This window comes from Homo sapiens, chromosome 11, assembly GCF_000001405.40.
Source record: "Homo sapiens chromosome 11, GRCh38.p14 Primary Assembly".
Lineage (NCBI taxonomy): Eukaryota > Metazoa > Chordata > Mammalia > Primates > Hominidae > Homo > Homo sapiens.
Genome location: NC_000011.10, coordinates 1,946,786 through 1,959,611, shown reverse-complemented (window position 1 = coordinate 1,959,611; position 12,826 = coordinate 1,946,786). Strand labels below are relative to the sequence as shown.

Genomic DNA, 12,826 nt, shown 5'->3' with positions numbered 1-12,826 from the left:
CCCATGCATGAAAGAGCCTGTGTGAGCACATGCGCCACGACAGTGGGCCCTCGTACTGGGGAAAAGACAGACCTGCCCAGGTGCTGCTCCCTCCCTCCCTGAGCCTCCAGGCAGGAGCGGGTCACGGGAGCTGGCGCGTCCAGCCGGTCCCTTCTGTGGGCTGTGTGTGTGCCTGAGGTGGTGGGAGCAGACCCCCAGCTGAACCCGAGCATCCCACTCCACCCAGGGCCCTTCCTGTGGGCCCTCCCCGCACAGCCCTGGTTGGCTACCCCAAGCTCAGCTCCATGGGTGCGGCACGCAGGGCTCTTGGAGAGGCCAAGCCTTCCAGACCCTGAGTGGGGCCGCCTGCCCACCCCGGCCTGCTCCGCGCTCCTCTGCAGCAGGCATGTGAGGTGGGTGTGGATGCTTTGGGGAAGACTACCCAGTGACATGGCTAGGTCATGCCACACGCGGCTGGGACAGATACCCGGGGGCCTCAGTTCTGACACCCGGCTCAGACCAGAAACCATTGGTCAAGTCAACGACCCAGAAAGTGGGGTCTTGTGTGAATCACCCACCCCCGCCGAGGACTGGCAGCCCTGTTTCTCACGCTGGACCGCCACACGCCCGTCCCTATCCCCCATTCTTCAAGAAATGCGCCCAGCCTCACCCCGTGCTCATCCCCGCATTTTGGTCTTGCCTCCATCTGGGCACCCCCTGGGACTGGGCCCAGGCCACGCACTTGGCAGGCCCCTGAGGCTATTATCTCCCCTAAGGCCCGGCCCTCAGCCAGCCCCTTACCGGGGTCAGTGGGCTGCCATGCAGAAGGATGCCCAGTGACGACTGGGGAGTGAGGGAGCCCCTGGTGTGCTGTGGAGATGGGGGTGCAGTAGCTCCCCAGCCCCTTTCTCCTCCCTGGCAGGGAGGCCTGTGGGAGACATGGGGGCTGCGACGGGACAGCACAGGCCGGGGTGAGACAGGGCGGGAGGAGGATCTGGAGGCCGGGGCGGCTGGAGCCGGAGTCAGGGCTGCGTCTGGGGGTGGCGGCCGTGATGGAGTGTGCCTGGTGCGCTGGCCGCCAGCAGGGCTGCTAACGGCCCCTGTGTGCGGGGCTGGACGTGCCGTGGATGAAGGATGGGATTCCTCTTCCCCTGCCGTGAGTTAGGGTCCTCAGAGCTCTAGGCCCCATGAATTATTTCTCTAAGGAAAACACAGTTGACTCCATTTCTCCGGCTCTACTTCCTGACCTTCCCCATCCCTTTAAATCAACACTGAAGGGTGAGCTTGCCCGGGCCTTCACCCCCTAGCCGAACACTTCCCCCGCCACACCCCCTCCTGCCTGCACTCCGGGCTGGGGGAGGGGAGGCTGAGCCAGCTGCCACGCCATCTCCTCTTGCAAGACCCTCGGAAGGCTGCCCAAGCAGAAGGAAAAGCCAGGACCCTCACTCAGACCACAACAGGCCCACGCTGCAGATCAGGGTTGGTCCCAAGGCCACGTGACACCTGTGTTCTTCTGAGCATTCGCATGGGGAGGCTTACACGGCAAACCCAACTTCGTGCAAGAAAGCCGCGCCGTGGGCTTTCCCCCAGACGCCCGAGTGCGGCTCCGTCCTGGTCAGGGTGGAGCGCAGATGGCTCCCGACGTACACGTGGGCCCTGGTTTTGATTCCCAACCCCAAAGCCGGAGCTGCCCGCACACAGCAGGGAGGGGGCCTTGCTCTGGCCTCCATGTTGGATTTTCTCGGGAAGCACTGGAACCAAGGACAGACTAAGAAAAACAGAGGGGCCCCCAGGCCTCTGCAACCCGTCCTGAGGACGCACCAGCTGCCGCATGGAGACGGGGCCAGAAGGGGCTCTGGAGGCCCTGGGCCTCACCAGATGCAGGGGTTCTGGGAAGAGGGGCTGGAAACCTTCCGGGCTCCTTGGAAGGTTCTGAATAAGACATCATTAAAACCAAAAATCAATTCTGTATCCAGCTCAGGGCCCCCTGGAGGCTGCCCCGGCTGGCCTGTCCAGCTTTGCTGGAACGGGAACCCAGGCCAGTCTGCCAGGTTCAGGCCCCAAAAACGGCGGCCGGGCAACCCCCTTTTGCTCCCACAGGCCAGGCCAGGCTAGGAGAGGCAGCACAGAGCCTCTGGCAGGGCCACAGGCTTCCACGCAGAACCCTTTAGACAAGAATCAGAGCAGGGGCCGTGCGTCCTGACCTGCCCTGGGCCGACAGAACAAGGGTCTAGACCCAGGCATCCACCCAGACACTGCGAGGCCACTGGGCACCTCCAACAGGATGCTCAAGCCCACCCTCTCCTCTCTCGACCTGTCCACCCCCAGGGCCGAGAAGCCCACAGAACTGTTTTGCAGTGGTTGCTGGCCACACCTTGCCCCCTGCCCTAACCACCTTTCCAGGCTGGGTCCTCCCTGTCCCCTAGGCCCAGCCCCGGGCCTGTGCCCGACGGCACCTCTCCGCCCGACGGCACCTCTCCGCCATGGCTCTCCTGAGACACTGCTGCCCTCGGATCCCTTCCCGGCCCTTCTCGGGTTCTTGCTGCCAACAGTGCCAAACCGAAACCCACAGGCGGGCCGGAGTTCCCTCACCAGGCCCCCTGAGGGCTGCTGCCCTGGCAGCCCCTCCCCAGAACTTCTGTCCAGGCCAGGCCGTTCTCTCACCCGGCGCCGCCCCGTGCTCACGCTGACCCCTCCATTCCTCCCGACGCCTCTGGGCTCAGGCTCTGAATGTGGGCGCTCAGAACTATCTTCTGGGTCTTTTCACCTGCGTGTCTCATTCCCCACCTGGCATGCAGCTCCGAGCCTGTGTGTGGCCCTCTCTGGCCAACCCGCCTCCCCAGCATGGGGCCACGTCTCAAGTCTGCCCACCCTCAGTTCCCCGTCAACTCAGAGACCAGACCCCGGCCGCGCCCACTGCCCAGACCCTGGGAAAGCGGAGCCAGGCCACGTGGCGCTCAGAGCTGGGGGGTGGCTGCTGCGTGTCTGGCACCCAGAGACCCAAGAGAAGAAGGAAGCAGAGCTTCCGGCTCTTTCTCCTGCAGCAAGACTTTTATTTAGGTGTCGGGACTGCTCTGCCACAGCTGCCCACCTGGGGCGCGTCCCTGCTGGCCGCCCCGTCACGGCCCGAACCAGCTGGGGATGCCGCCCCGCCGCGGGTCGCTGCTCTGCCACAGCTGCCCACCTGGGGCGCGTCCCTGCTGGCCACCCCGTCACAGCCCGAACCAGCTGGGGACGCCGCCCCGCCGCGGGTCGCTGCTCTGCCTCTGCTGCCTCTCCTCCTCGAGCATGCTGTAGAGGTCGTCGGCAGCGCTGCCTTCAGGGCTCTCGTCTTTCTCGGGAAACAGATCTGGGAACGTGAAGGTCTGTCCATGGGCCTAAGGGGGAGAACAAAGGCTCCAGCCAGAGCTGCAAAGACTCCTCAGCAGAGGGGTCTGTGGGGGAGCCTCATGCTTTCTGGCAGCCCCTTTCTGCCGGCGCCGGATTCAACTGCTCAGAGGTACCTCCCTGGGCCTCCTGGGGCAGCGTCCCTGCCTGGAATGTAAGCACCCCCACGGCCACCGGCCCCCGGCTGTCACGCTGCAGCAGAGGCCACAGCTCCAGGACAGGGCCGCTTTCCCCACCATTGTCTCTTTAGGGCCTGGTGTCTGCCCCCGCCCTGGGTGCACCCATTTACTAGCACGGGGCCACCTGGTTGGTGGGGGGCAGAAACAAGGCATGGAAAAACATGACACAAATCACGTCTGGTACCATGCTGAACCTGTCCATCCAAAATGCCTCAGGCTCTACTCACATTAAAGCTCCCCCTCCTCCCAGCCCAGAGCCTGGCAATTAAAGTGAACATCACGTACGAAGAAACATGCACGTGCGGCAGTTGATAAATCAGGACCGGCTCTGCCAATTAACTGGTCTTACATCTTCTGCTGAGAGTTCAGAATATGTCCGTGTCAGCCAAGCCCCAGCCCAGGCCACAGCATGTGGCTCGGGTTCACGAGAAGGAGGGGATACTGCTCCTTGGGGACCTAAGCAAATACAAGAAGCCATCTTAACTTGCTAATGATTACTAAGTGCTCCAAAGCTAAGAGGCAGAAAGAGCAGACCAGAGGAGAGGGAAGAGAAGAGGGAGGAGGAGTGAGGATGGCACCCGAATCTGGAACCCTTTAGTGAGTAAAATCAGTCAGGTACACTTGGCTCTTGCAGACCCTTTGTGTGTAAATAAATCTGGATGTGGGCAGGCAGCCAAGTATGATCTGAAACAGGCCCAGATCCCACCCTGCGAGGGAGGTGTATGCACCCTGATCCCTGGCGCAGAGCGCAGGGGCTGGCGGGGAGAGTGGCACTGCGTGCGCCGTAGCCGGCCTGCAGGAGGATTGCCTTACACAGCTCTGAACTTTGCGTCTTTTAAAATACCAAGGGGCAGTCGTTTACACGTGAGGCTGACTGCCCAGAATGGGAGATTCACCTTGACTATATGGAGGTGATTCTGCTAGTTTTCCGAGGCAAGGGGAACCCAAAATGACAGTTTAAAGCACAAACATGGCCATTTGTCACAGCTTCGGGAAGAAATGGGGAAAGGTGCTGAGAGAAAATCCGTTTCTTACAGGAGACAAACACCGTTTGGGGATGCCAAGCATGGTTTCCCAGGGGCTTCCCCTTTCTAGAAGAGTTCACCTTGTACCTAAAAAAAAAAAGCCCTTGATCCTTCCAAAAAGGAGAGAGACAGCTGATCGGGGTAAAGAACAGGAATGGAGAAAAATGTCCCAATGACAAGTAAACAAGGCAGCCCTGCCTTCAGGAATCCCAGGGCGCCCTGGGGGCTGCCGCCTGCCTGGACCTGGAGGCCGGAGCCCCGAGCACGGAGCTCGGCCCAGCTGGCGGCAGCGGTTTGTTCTGGAGTTGCCTCTCATGTCGTGCGCCCTTCATTCCTGCGCGCCCTTCATTCCCGCGCTGCTCAGCATCCACACAAGCCTCGGGGCAGCGGGCAGTCAATGGTCTTTTTGTTGTGTGGGTCACTGAGGCGCTGCTTTCAGCTCCCAGGACTTTGGGCCAAGGAGATGCTTATCAGGTTGTCGGAGAAAGAAATGTGGGACTCCCGCCACGTGGGACAGGGCCTTTCCACAGCGGCCAACTCCAAATAACGTGGATAATTTTACCTTTCCAATGCTCCCTCCCTGGGCTTTGCAATTAGCAGTGATTCTAAGCCCTGGCGCAGGGCCCAGGGGGACACGCTGAGCAAGGTCTCAGCAGACACGAGACAGGAAAGGGCCTTGAGAGTCCCCTCTGCGGGCAGACAGGGACCAACGGCCACGGCCCATTTCTAGGCTGTGCAAAGATGTGCTGGAGTTCAGGAAGGGGGGTGAGGACCCGTTACAAATTTTCATTCTGGAACAGGAGGATCCATGCCCAACTGGGACCCTTCAGGCTCCCAGTTGCCCTGCCCTGTCTCTGGCTGCCTGGACTTCACAGAGGGAGAACAACACGCGGGCAGCAGCTGCAGACACCGGATCCCGGAGCTGCTGGGTTCAGTTTTCATGGGAGGTGGGGCCCAGAGGAAGAACGCAAGGGCTCGGATGACTTGAATGCCACTTGTAACCGTAGCTGCCTCTGAAGTGCCCGTGGCGGTGCCGGCACACGGGATGTCCACCCACATGCCATGACAAAGACAGATGGGCCCGACTGACACTGAGCACACAGAGGCCTTTATGAGGCCAACGGCTGCTCTCCCCACCTGGATTGGCTGATTTCATGCACAGCAAATATCAGGCCAAATTATTCCGGGGGCCCCTGTTTAGAACAACAAATGTGACTGTTTTTCAGAAAAGCTGCCATGCTAACTTGGCCTTTTTCACAAACTGCCTCCTTAGCCCCACAACAGGCCGGCTGGCCCAGGAGGCGGTTTCCACCATCGTGTGACTGCCATCTAGTGGCAGGGCCCGCCGGCTCGGCCTCCAGGGACCATTTACACCGGAAGACAACCCCATCCCCACCCAGTAAGGCCAGCCCCAGGGGCAGAGTGGGGAGGCCCAGGAGGCGGCCGGGGCAGGCTGTGGACATCTTGGCCCAGAGAGAAAGTGCCTCTGGGTTTGCCTGGGACTCAAAATGAAGAGCCCAAAGAAAGGCTTTGAAACTGTGGGTCTCACTCCTGACAAGTCTGGGTTTCAGAAACTGAAGGCCCAGGCAACGTGGGGTGAGGGTTCTTCCTCCCCAGAGCCCCCCAGGATACGTAAGAAAGCACCTGCTCAGAAGCAGCCTGCTGAGCCCTAACAAGTACGTGGGACCTGCTACCCTGCAATGCAGGACATGGGCCTCAGCCAACAGCCCGGCCAGCCAGACCTGCCTTGGCACCAAAGACCTTTGCCCTCAGGGGCCTCACACTCTGCCTCCGAGGCTGAAACCCAGCCAAGGACAGGCTCTCCAGAGGCCGGGGCCTCCCATGCTCTGACACCCTGGTGTGCGTTGGAGTTGAAACCCACTAGGCCTGTGATGGCTGCCTTTGCCCACAGAGAATTCAAACTTCAAAATCACAAAACGGCCGGACGCTGAGACGTGCCCCATGTGCCCCAGTGCTCACGTGCTCCCAGCGCCACCACTAACACCCCCAAGGCCGTGACGGAGCATGACCTTATGTGGAGCCTGCCTCTGCGCTGAGGCCCTGAGATCCGGCCTCACGGGGGCTCCCTGGGCCCCAGCGCAGCGTCTCCGGCACAAACATCCCCAAGGACACAGTTGCGAGGAGCCCCTCGGAGGCCCCGCTGGGGCTGGCCAGCTCACACGCACCAGCTGCACGTAGGCGACCTTGTAGTCCGGCTTCTTGATCCTCACGTTTCTGTGATCTCTTCTCTTGTTAGAGCCTGCCGGAAGGGAGTGAAAAAAAAATCAGAACTTTAAAAAAATCAGAACTTTAAAAAATTACATCCTCAGAGGTCAATGCCACTAAAACGAACCTCTGCTCTCTTAAAAATGTAAATATGTTTTTAAAAACTCAAAAAGGCGATTTCTCAGGGAAATGGGCACTGTAATCAAACGAGCCAGCACAGCAGGCTCCCAGGCTCCTCCCTTCTCCCAACAGAGGCCAGCAGGTTCTCAACAAAGGAGCGGACGTGGCACCAGCCAGGGCACACGACAGGGGCTTATGGAACAGACAGCGCTTTGCTCCCCAGCCTCAGCCACTGCAGTCCCACCTCGGGGGCTGACGGCAGGAGTCAGGGCTCAGAATGGACCCCGGGCCAGCCCAGTTGAATTCCAATCCCTGCTCTGGCACGTAAGCACCGTGTGACCCTGACAAGTCACCCTGTGCCTCAGTTTCCCATGAGCCACGTCAGACCAAGACCCCCATGCAGTAGCTGAGGCTGTGGCTCGGCGAGGTGGGCATGTGGCACAGATGGGCACGACACCAACAGGAGAACCTCCCATGGGCACTCACCATGCTGCACCCGTGTCCGCACAGCAGCCACGGGCACGTTATAGATGCCCTCGAGGTAATTCCTGAGGTCCACCCTTGTCATTCTGGAGGCGAAGGAGAAAGAAAACGGCATCTTAACCAGGCTAAAAGCCAAAAATACTGTCCCAGATGCACAAGCACCCGAGGCTGAGAGGCCGACAGACCAAGACCCACAGGGGGCAGGGAGGAGGGCTGGGTACATCAGCGGCACTAGTGAGGCCAGGCAGCCCCAGCAACACCAGTGCTGCTGGCTGCAAGACTCCCTACTCTGGGCACACCAGCATGGGGTGGCAGTGGCACAGACCCCACAGAGTGGGAGCACTGCCCAACCAACCCCTGGCCTGCTCCACAGCCCCACATGGCTCCCTGCTCCGGGCAAGTGCCTGTGAGAGGAGGTGACAGTCTCTGCACGCTCCTGGCTGGCAGGTGCCCCACCTCGTCTGCCCCGGGGCCCAGTGGCCGCATCAGGGTTAGGCCTGCTCTGCGGCTGATGGGACTGATGCGGTTCTAGGAAGTACCTTCTGGAAAGGCCTGCCTGGCATTCGGTGCGTTAACTGCAAGTTCCCTCTACTGCAGAACCTCACGGTCACTGTCAACTCAGCTTCTGGGCCCCTGCAGGCTGCACAGGCCTGACCTTCGCCCCCAGGGGAGCTCACGCTGCTGCCCCGCCTGGCTCGCATCAACCCTGAGCTGGGGACCTGTGAACTTAAACACTGCAGAGCAGCACCCCAGTTTTGCTCGTAGGGACTGTGCATTTCTCTGAAGGTCAAGCAGGCTCTTCTGAGCGGTTCTGTACATCACGGCCTGCTCCCAACCCAGCCTCTCAGGGCGCCTCTCCTAAAAAGAAGCTGCAAGAACTCAACAGAAGACGCGAGCACAGAGGTCCAAATTTTAAGGCTTCCAGTGAAGCCGTCCCCGGGTGGAGGGCGGCGTGCAGCCTGCCTGCCGGGCTCCACACCTACAGGCACTCCATCAATACTTGCCGGGCAGGGCCGCCTGAGGTGCCTTCCCAGCAGGAAGAGGCTAGCACGTGAGCAGAGTTGTTTTAACTCAGGACCCAGGCCCCCCTGAGGGCACTCTCCCAACCCAGCGGGAAAACTTCCGGGCTCACTCCACGGGGATCCCCCCGAGGGTGCTCCCCAACCCCAGCCGGAATCCTCCCGGACTCACTCCATGGGGATCCGGAACTGCACGGTGTCCTCGGGCTGGGCCACACCGGGCCGCACCAGCTGAATGAAGAAGTTGGTTCGGAACACCCGAAGTTGTGGGCCACCCAGCCGGTACAGGGGGTACCTGTACAGAAGAGATTGGGTCCATGTCACACACTTAGGCCAAGGCAGCCCGACACACCAACCCTGCAGACCTCCGAGTGTCCACTCACAACAGGGTGGGCAGAAAAGGGGGTAGCTAACACTGCGGATCCCTGAGTGTCCACTCCCAACAGTGGTGGGCGGGAAACGGGGTAGCTAACCCTGCAGACCCCCGCGTGTCCACTCCCAACAGTGGTGGGCGGGAAACAGGGTAGCTAACCCTGCAGACCCCCGCGTGTCCACTCACAACAGGGGTGGGCGGGAAACAGGGTAGCTAACCCTGCAGACCCCCGCGTGTCCACTCACAACAGGGGTGGGCGGGAAACGGGGTAGCTATCAGCAGGTCACCACCCAAGGACACAGAGGTCCCCACAGCCCCTTTCTCACATGGGCCTGCCAAGGTGGACGGCCAGTCCCTAGCATCGACTTAAGGAGCATGCGCTGTTGACCCCCAAGGTCAGACTTTAGAAAAGGCCAATGGACAAAAATCAGAACCCCGCAGACAGCATTCCCCCAATAAGCTGATGGCAAGGCTCAAAGACGTGTGTTGGGGCACTGATACCCCTGGGAGAGCAGACCCCACGCGGCCGGCCCACTCTCCTGCTGCTCGGGTGAAGTGGAGCTGCAGAGAACCACACACCATGGGACAGAAAAGGCCAGCTCCGCACTCTCCCGGTGGCAGCAGGGCCTAGCTCCTCGGTATGGAGAACGCAGGCTAACCAGGCTTAGGCTCCTGGAAGACGGTGCTGCCAAGACTCTGATTCAGTACACTAAATGTGAGTTGAGTGCACCACACCCCAGCACTCCACTAAAAGCCAGCAGAGGCAGATGGAGAGGTGCCAAGTGGCCACCGCAAACTAGACCAGCACGCTGCCTGGGCTGGGGGGCCAGGTGACGATCGTGCAGAATCTCTAGCCAGTTGGTTTCGTGCATTCTCCCACGTTCAGCTGGGTGGACAGGCAGCACCGTCCTACCGTCCCCCACCCCCGTTCCCGCCCCTGCCACTGCCGGCACACCCTGGCTCTATCTGGGCCTCAGAGCTGGGGGGAGGAGGGGCACAGGAGAAACTCAGGCCTGCTGGGTCTCGGGGGATGTGGGGTCTGAGAGCCTAGGTGCAGGTCTTGGTGGACGGGGAGCACAGGGGCTCTTGAGGGGTCTCTGGTGGCCTTATCTGAGGCACTGCACATGGCCCTGGCCTTGGGAGCACCCAGCACCAAGTTAAGAGGGGCTCCGTGAGGCCAACGCTGCCCCAGGCTTCACATGAATTTCACGCTGGCCTCTGCCTGTCTAGGGAAGATGAGGAGGAAGTGAGGGTCAGAGGCCTTGGGTGGGGTGTTCCTGAAGGGCCAACAGTGGTAGGCAGCACTGAGCCTCTGGGCCTGAGGGCCTGGCAGGGGCCAGGAGCTGCTGGGACCTCTCAGAGGCAAGGCGCCTGTAACAAAGCCCGATCACTAATCATGTCCACCCCAGGCCTCCTGATGACCACACTGACACATGGCAGCCTGGTGGCCGGGCCAGTGGGGCTGAGTCTTCACTCACCCAACCCCAGCAGAGCCTCCTCTTGGGCATGGCCTTGGCCTTTCCAAGCCTCAGAGTGCAGCCTTCAGGGGTGGGCCCCAGTGAGAGGCCGAGAAGAAAGGGTGGGCTCTGGAGGTGGAGGGGCCTGACTTGTTTTACCCACAGGTTCAGGCTAGCCATGGCCACCCGAGGGGCTCACACATTCCCTCTGGTGACCAGCTGTGGGACTGCAGGAGTGGAGACAAAGTTTGGGGACTCCCAGTAAACAGTAGAAAAGAGGGTTCAACAGCTCCCAGGCCATTAATTTTCGAGTCTCCAGGCTTGGGGCCTGAAGGGCACACTTTGCTAAGGGTCTGAAGGGCCATGTGTGGGCTTGAGATGAGAGGCTGGCAGGGGTTGGGCCAGGACGATTCACTGTCCTTGTTCCCACAGGCCGAGCCTCTCCAGGCTGGAGCGCCAGCTGCCTGTGCATGGAGCCTGCAGATCTGGAACAATCTGCACTGTCGACACCCAGGGCCCCAGGACAGGGCTCTAAGGCCTCTCTTTTGTTCTCGAACCCTTGTGGGCCCACCAGCCCTCAGTTCCCTCAGTCCCACTCTCCCCAGGGAGCACCCCAAGCACTCCGCATGGGATTTCACAAGCACCTCCACGGTAACCTATCTCAAGTAGAACTCTGCACTAACTTCTTCCTCAAAACACAAAAACCTGGCTCACTGCCACCAGCCTGCCTCCCCACGGCCCCACGAGTGACTCACCCAGGATCCCACCCTCTCGGCACCCCCACCCCAGCTGCATCCAGTCCACAGCAAGTCCAGTCAGCGCTCCCTGCAAAGGCTCCCTGGCAACAGGAGTGTGTGCACTGCTGGGCGAGCGGGCCCCGCTGCCTCCAAGGCAACCACACCTGATCCGTTTCCAGGGGCCCACCACCCTTGGCCCTTCAGGAACACCCCACCCGGGTCCTCTGACCCTCACTTCCTCCTCATTCTCCAGGGACAGGCGAAGGGCCAGCGTGGAATTCACGTGAGGCTCAGGGCAGTGTTGGCCTCACTCAGACCTTTTCTTCCTTGGTGCTGGGTGTTCCCCAAGGTCAGGGCCACGCGCAGCACCGGTCCCAGGTGTCTGCTGAAGGAAGCCTCCTCCACTGGGGGTCCCACCTGCCACCCTCCCCTCTCTCCCCAGCTATGTGCAGGGGCCTCCAAAGCCACACCCTGGCCCCTTGACCGTCCCTCTCCAGAAACACTGATTACTGTTCTCCAAAACCCACCCGGGAGCCCACATCTACTGATTACGCCTGAGTCATTCGTTCACCAAGAAATATGCAGGGCTTCCTGCTTCAATTTGGGGAGGGCGAAGTGGTGCAGGACAGCGCCCCGATGGCCCCCTGGGAATCCAGAGAACATGCAGAGTGGGCGTGGGGGGTCTGGGCTGAGCAGAACCGGGCCTCCCGCCCTGCCTGCCCCAAAGCCCTGAGGGCTGCGGTCAGCTGCCCTTTCCCACTCAAACCCAATCTGGATTCCCAGCTCCTCTGCCTCAGGCCGCGCCCGCGCTGCGGTGGGGGCCGCCCGGGCCTCCCCGCCTGGACCCAACAGCCGACGTGGCCCCCGCCCCGTGACGATCAGAAACGTCTCCAAACAGCTCCCTCGGCCCTGGCTGCGGGACCAGCCCCGGGCCTGACCCCGGGCCACCCTCCCACTCCCCACGCGGGGGCACCGTGGCCTCCATGGGTTTGGCTCGGACCCTCTGTCCCCAGCCCGGCCACGCCCGCCCCCTGGGGTTGCCCTAAACCTGGCGGGGGGCTCCTCCGCCACCCGCCTCGCGTGTCTCAAGGCATGACAGGGGGTCCCGGAGAACCCTGCCTCGCCCGGGCCAGGAGGCGGCCCAGGGACGCCCACCCCGCTCCCCGGAGTCCGCGCGCCCTGTGGGGTCCGTCTGCTTGTGACACTAAGGGGCGCCCCGCGACGGGGGGGTGACGACCCCTACTCACACCACATTCCGCGCCATGGCGGCCACGCGCGCTTCCGGGGTCCGCGAGGCGGAAGGAGCAGCGCGCCCGCCCCGCACGGCCGCCGCCTGGCACAGCGCCCCCTCGCTTCCGGAGGCCGCGCCGCCCCCCCCGCACGCGCCAGCGCCCGTGCCGCGCGCCCGTGCCGTCCCCAGCCCTGCGCCCGCCCCGCCCCGCGCCGCCTTCTTCTCCCTCCCTGCCCCCCTCCTGTCCCGCACCCCACGTTCCTCCCCGCCCCGACCCCCACTCCCCGCGCCGCAGACTCCACAGGACGCGGGGCCGCAGCAGTCCCGCCCCGCACTCCCGGCCCCACAGCCTGAAGCCCGGGCCCGCGCCCCTGCTGCTCGCGCCCCGCCCACGCCCGCACCCCTCCCAGCCCCAGAGACCTCCCGCCGCCGTCGCACTCTTTCGGGCCTGTCTGCCCTGCCTCCCGGGACCCCGGCCTGCACGCCCCCCACACCCGTGCCCCTGCCCTTTGGCAGCTCCAGGCCACAGCCTGGCCCCGCACCGCTGCGCTTGCAGCTGCTGGGAGCTGGAAGTGGAGAACCGGGGCTGTAGTGCTGGGGAGGGCGGGTC

General features: G+C 62.3%; 1 protein-coding gene and 1 non-coding gene across 9 annotated transcripts in view, besides 2 other annotated features; both read right to left on the bottom strand.

The window, feature by feature from the left end:
• MRPL23 (mitochondrial ribosomal protein L23) overlaps positions 1–12,280 on the bottom strand; it is a 67,613-nt gene extending 55,333 nt beyond the window's left edge. For 4 of the 8 annotated variants that reach the window (XM_011520273.2, NM_001400176.1, NM_001400179.1 and 1 more), the window contains exons 1-4: positions 12,233–12,280; positions 8,591–8,713; positions 7,403–7,485; positions 6,757–6,830 (exon numbers count right to left, since the gene is read on the bottom strand). In XM_011520273.2, coding sequence (XP_011518575.1) covers positions 6,757–6,830; positions 7,403–7,485; positions 8,591–8,713; positions 12,233–12,249 — 297 coding nt within the window. In that variant the 5' untranslated portion in view covers positions 12,250–12,280. Of the gene's footprint in view, positions 1–3,011; positions 3,357–3,830; positions 4,002–6,756; positions 6,831–7,402; positions 7,486–8,590; positions 8,714–12,033 lie in introns of those variants that run through there. The other 4 variants (NR_174403.1, NM_001400174.1, NM_001400172.1 and 1 more) reach the window with 4 other exon arrangements.
• Positions 795–1,573: an enhancer, noted in NCBI's record as "H3K4me1 hESC enhancer chr11:1979269-1980047 (GRCh37/hg19 assembly coordinates)". NCBI's record gives its function as "activates a minimal SCP1, AML or CMV promoter by ChIP-STARR-seq in naive H9 embryonic stem cells {active_cell/tissue: H9 hESC(naive)}" and the evidence as "EXISTENCE:reporter gene assay evidence [ECO:0000049][PMID:30033119]".
• Positions 9,614–10,351: an enhancer, noted in NCBI's record as "H3K4me1 hESC enhancer chr11:1970491-1971228 (GRCh37/hg19 assembly coordinates)". NCBI's record gives its function as "activates a minimal SCP1, AML or CMV promoter by ChIP-STARR-seq in primed H9 embryonic stem cells {active_cell/tissue: H9 hESC(primed)}" and the evidence as "EXISTENCE:reporter gene assay evidence [ECO:0000049][PMID:30033119]".
• SNORD131 (small nucleolar RNA, C/D box 131) lies at positions 10,136–10,281 on the bottom strand. The gene has a single exon (NR_132974.1). It is a non-coding gene; the product is annotated as a small nucleolar RNA, C/D box 131 (small nucleolar RNA).
• Positions 12,281–12,826: the final 546 nt, after the last annotated feature.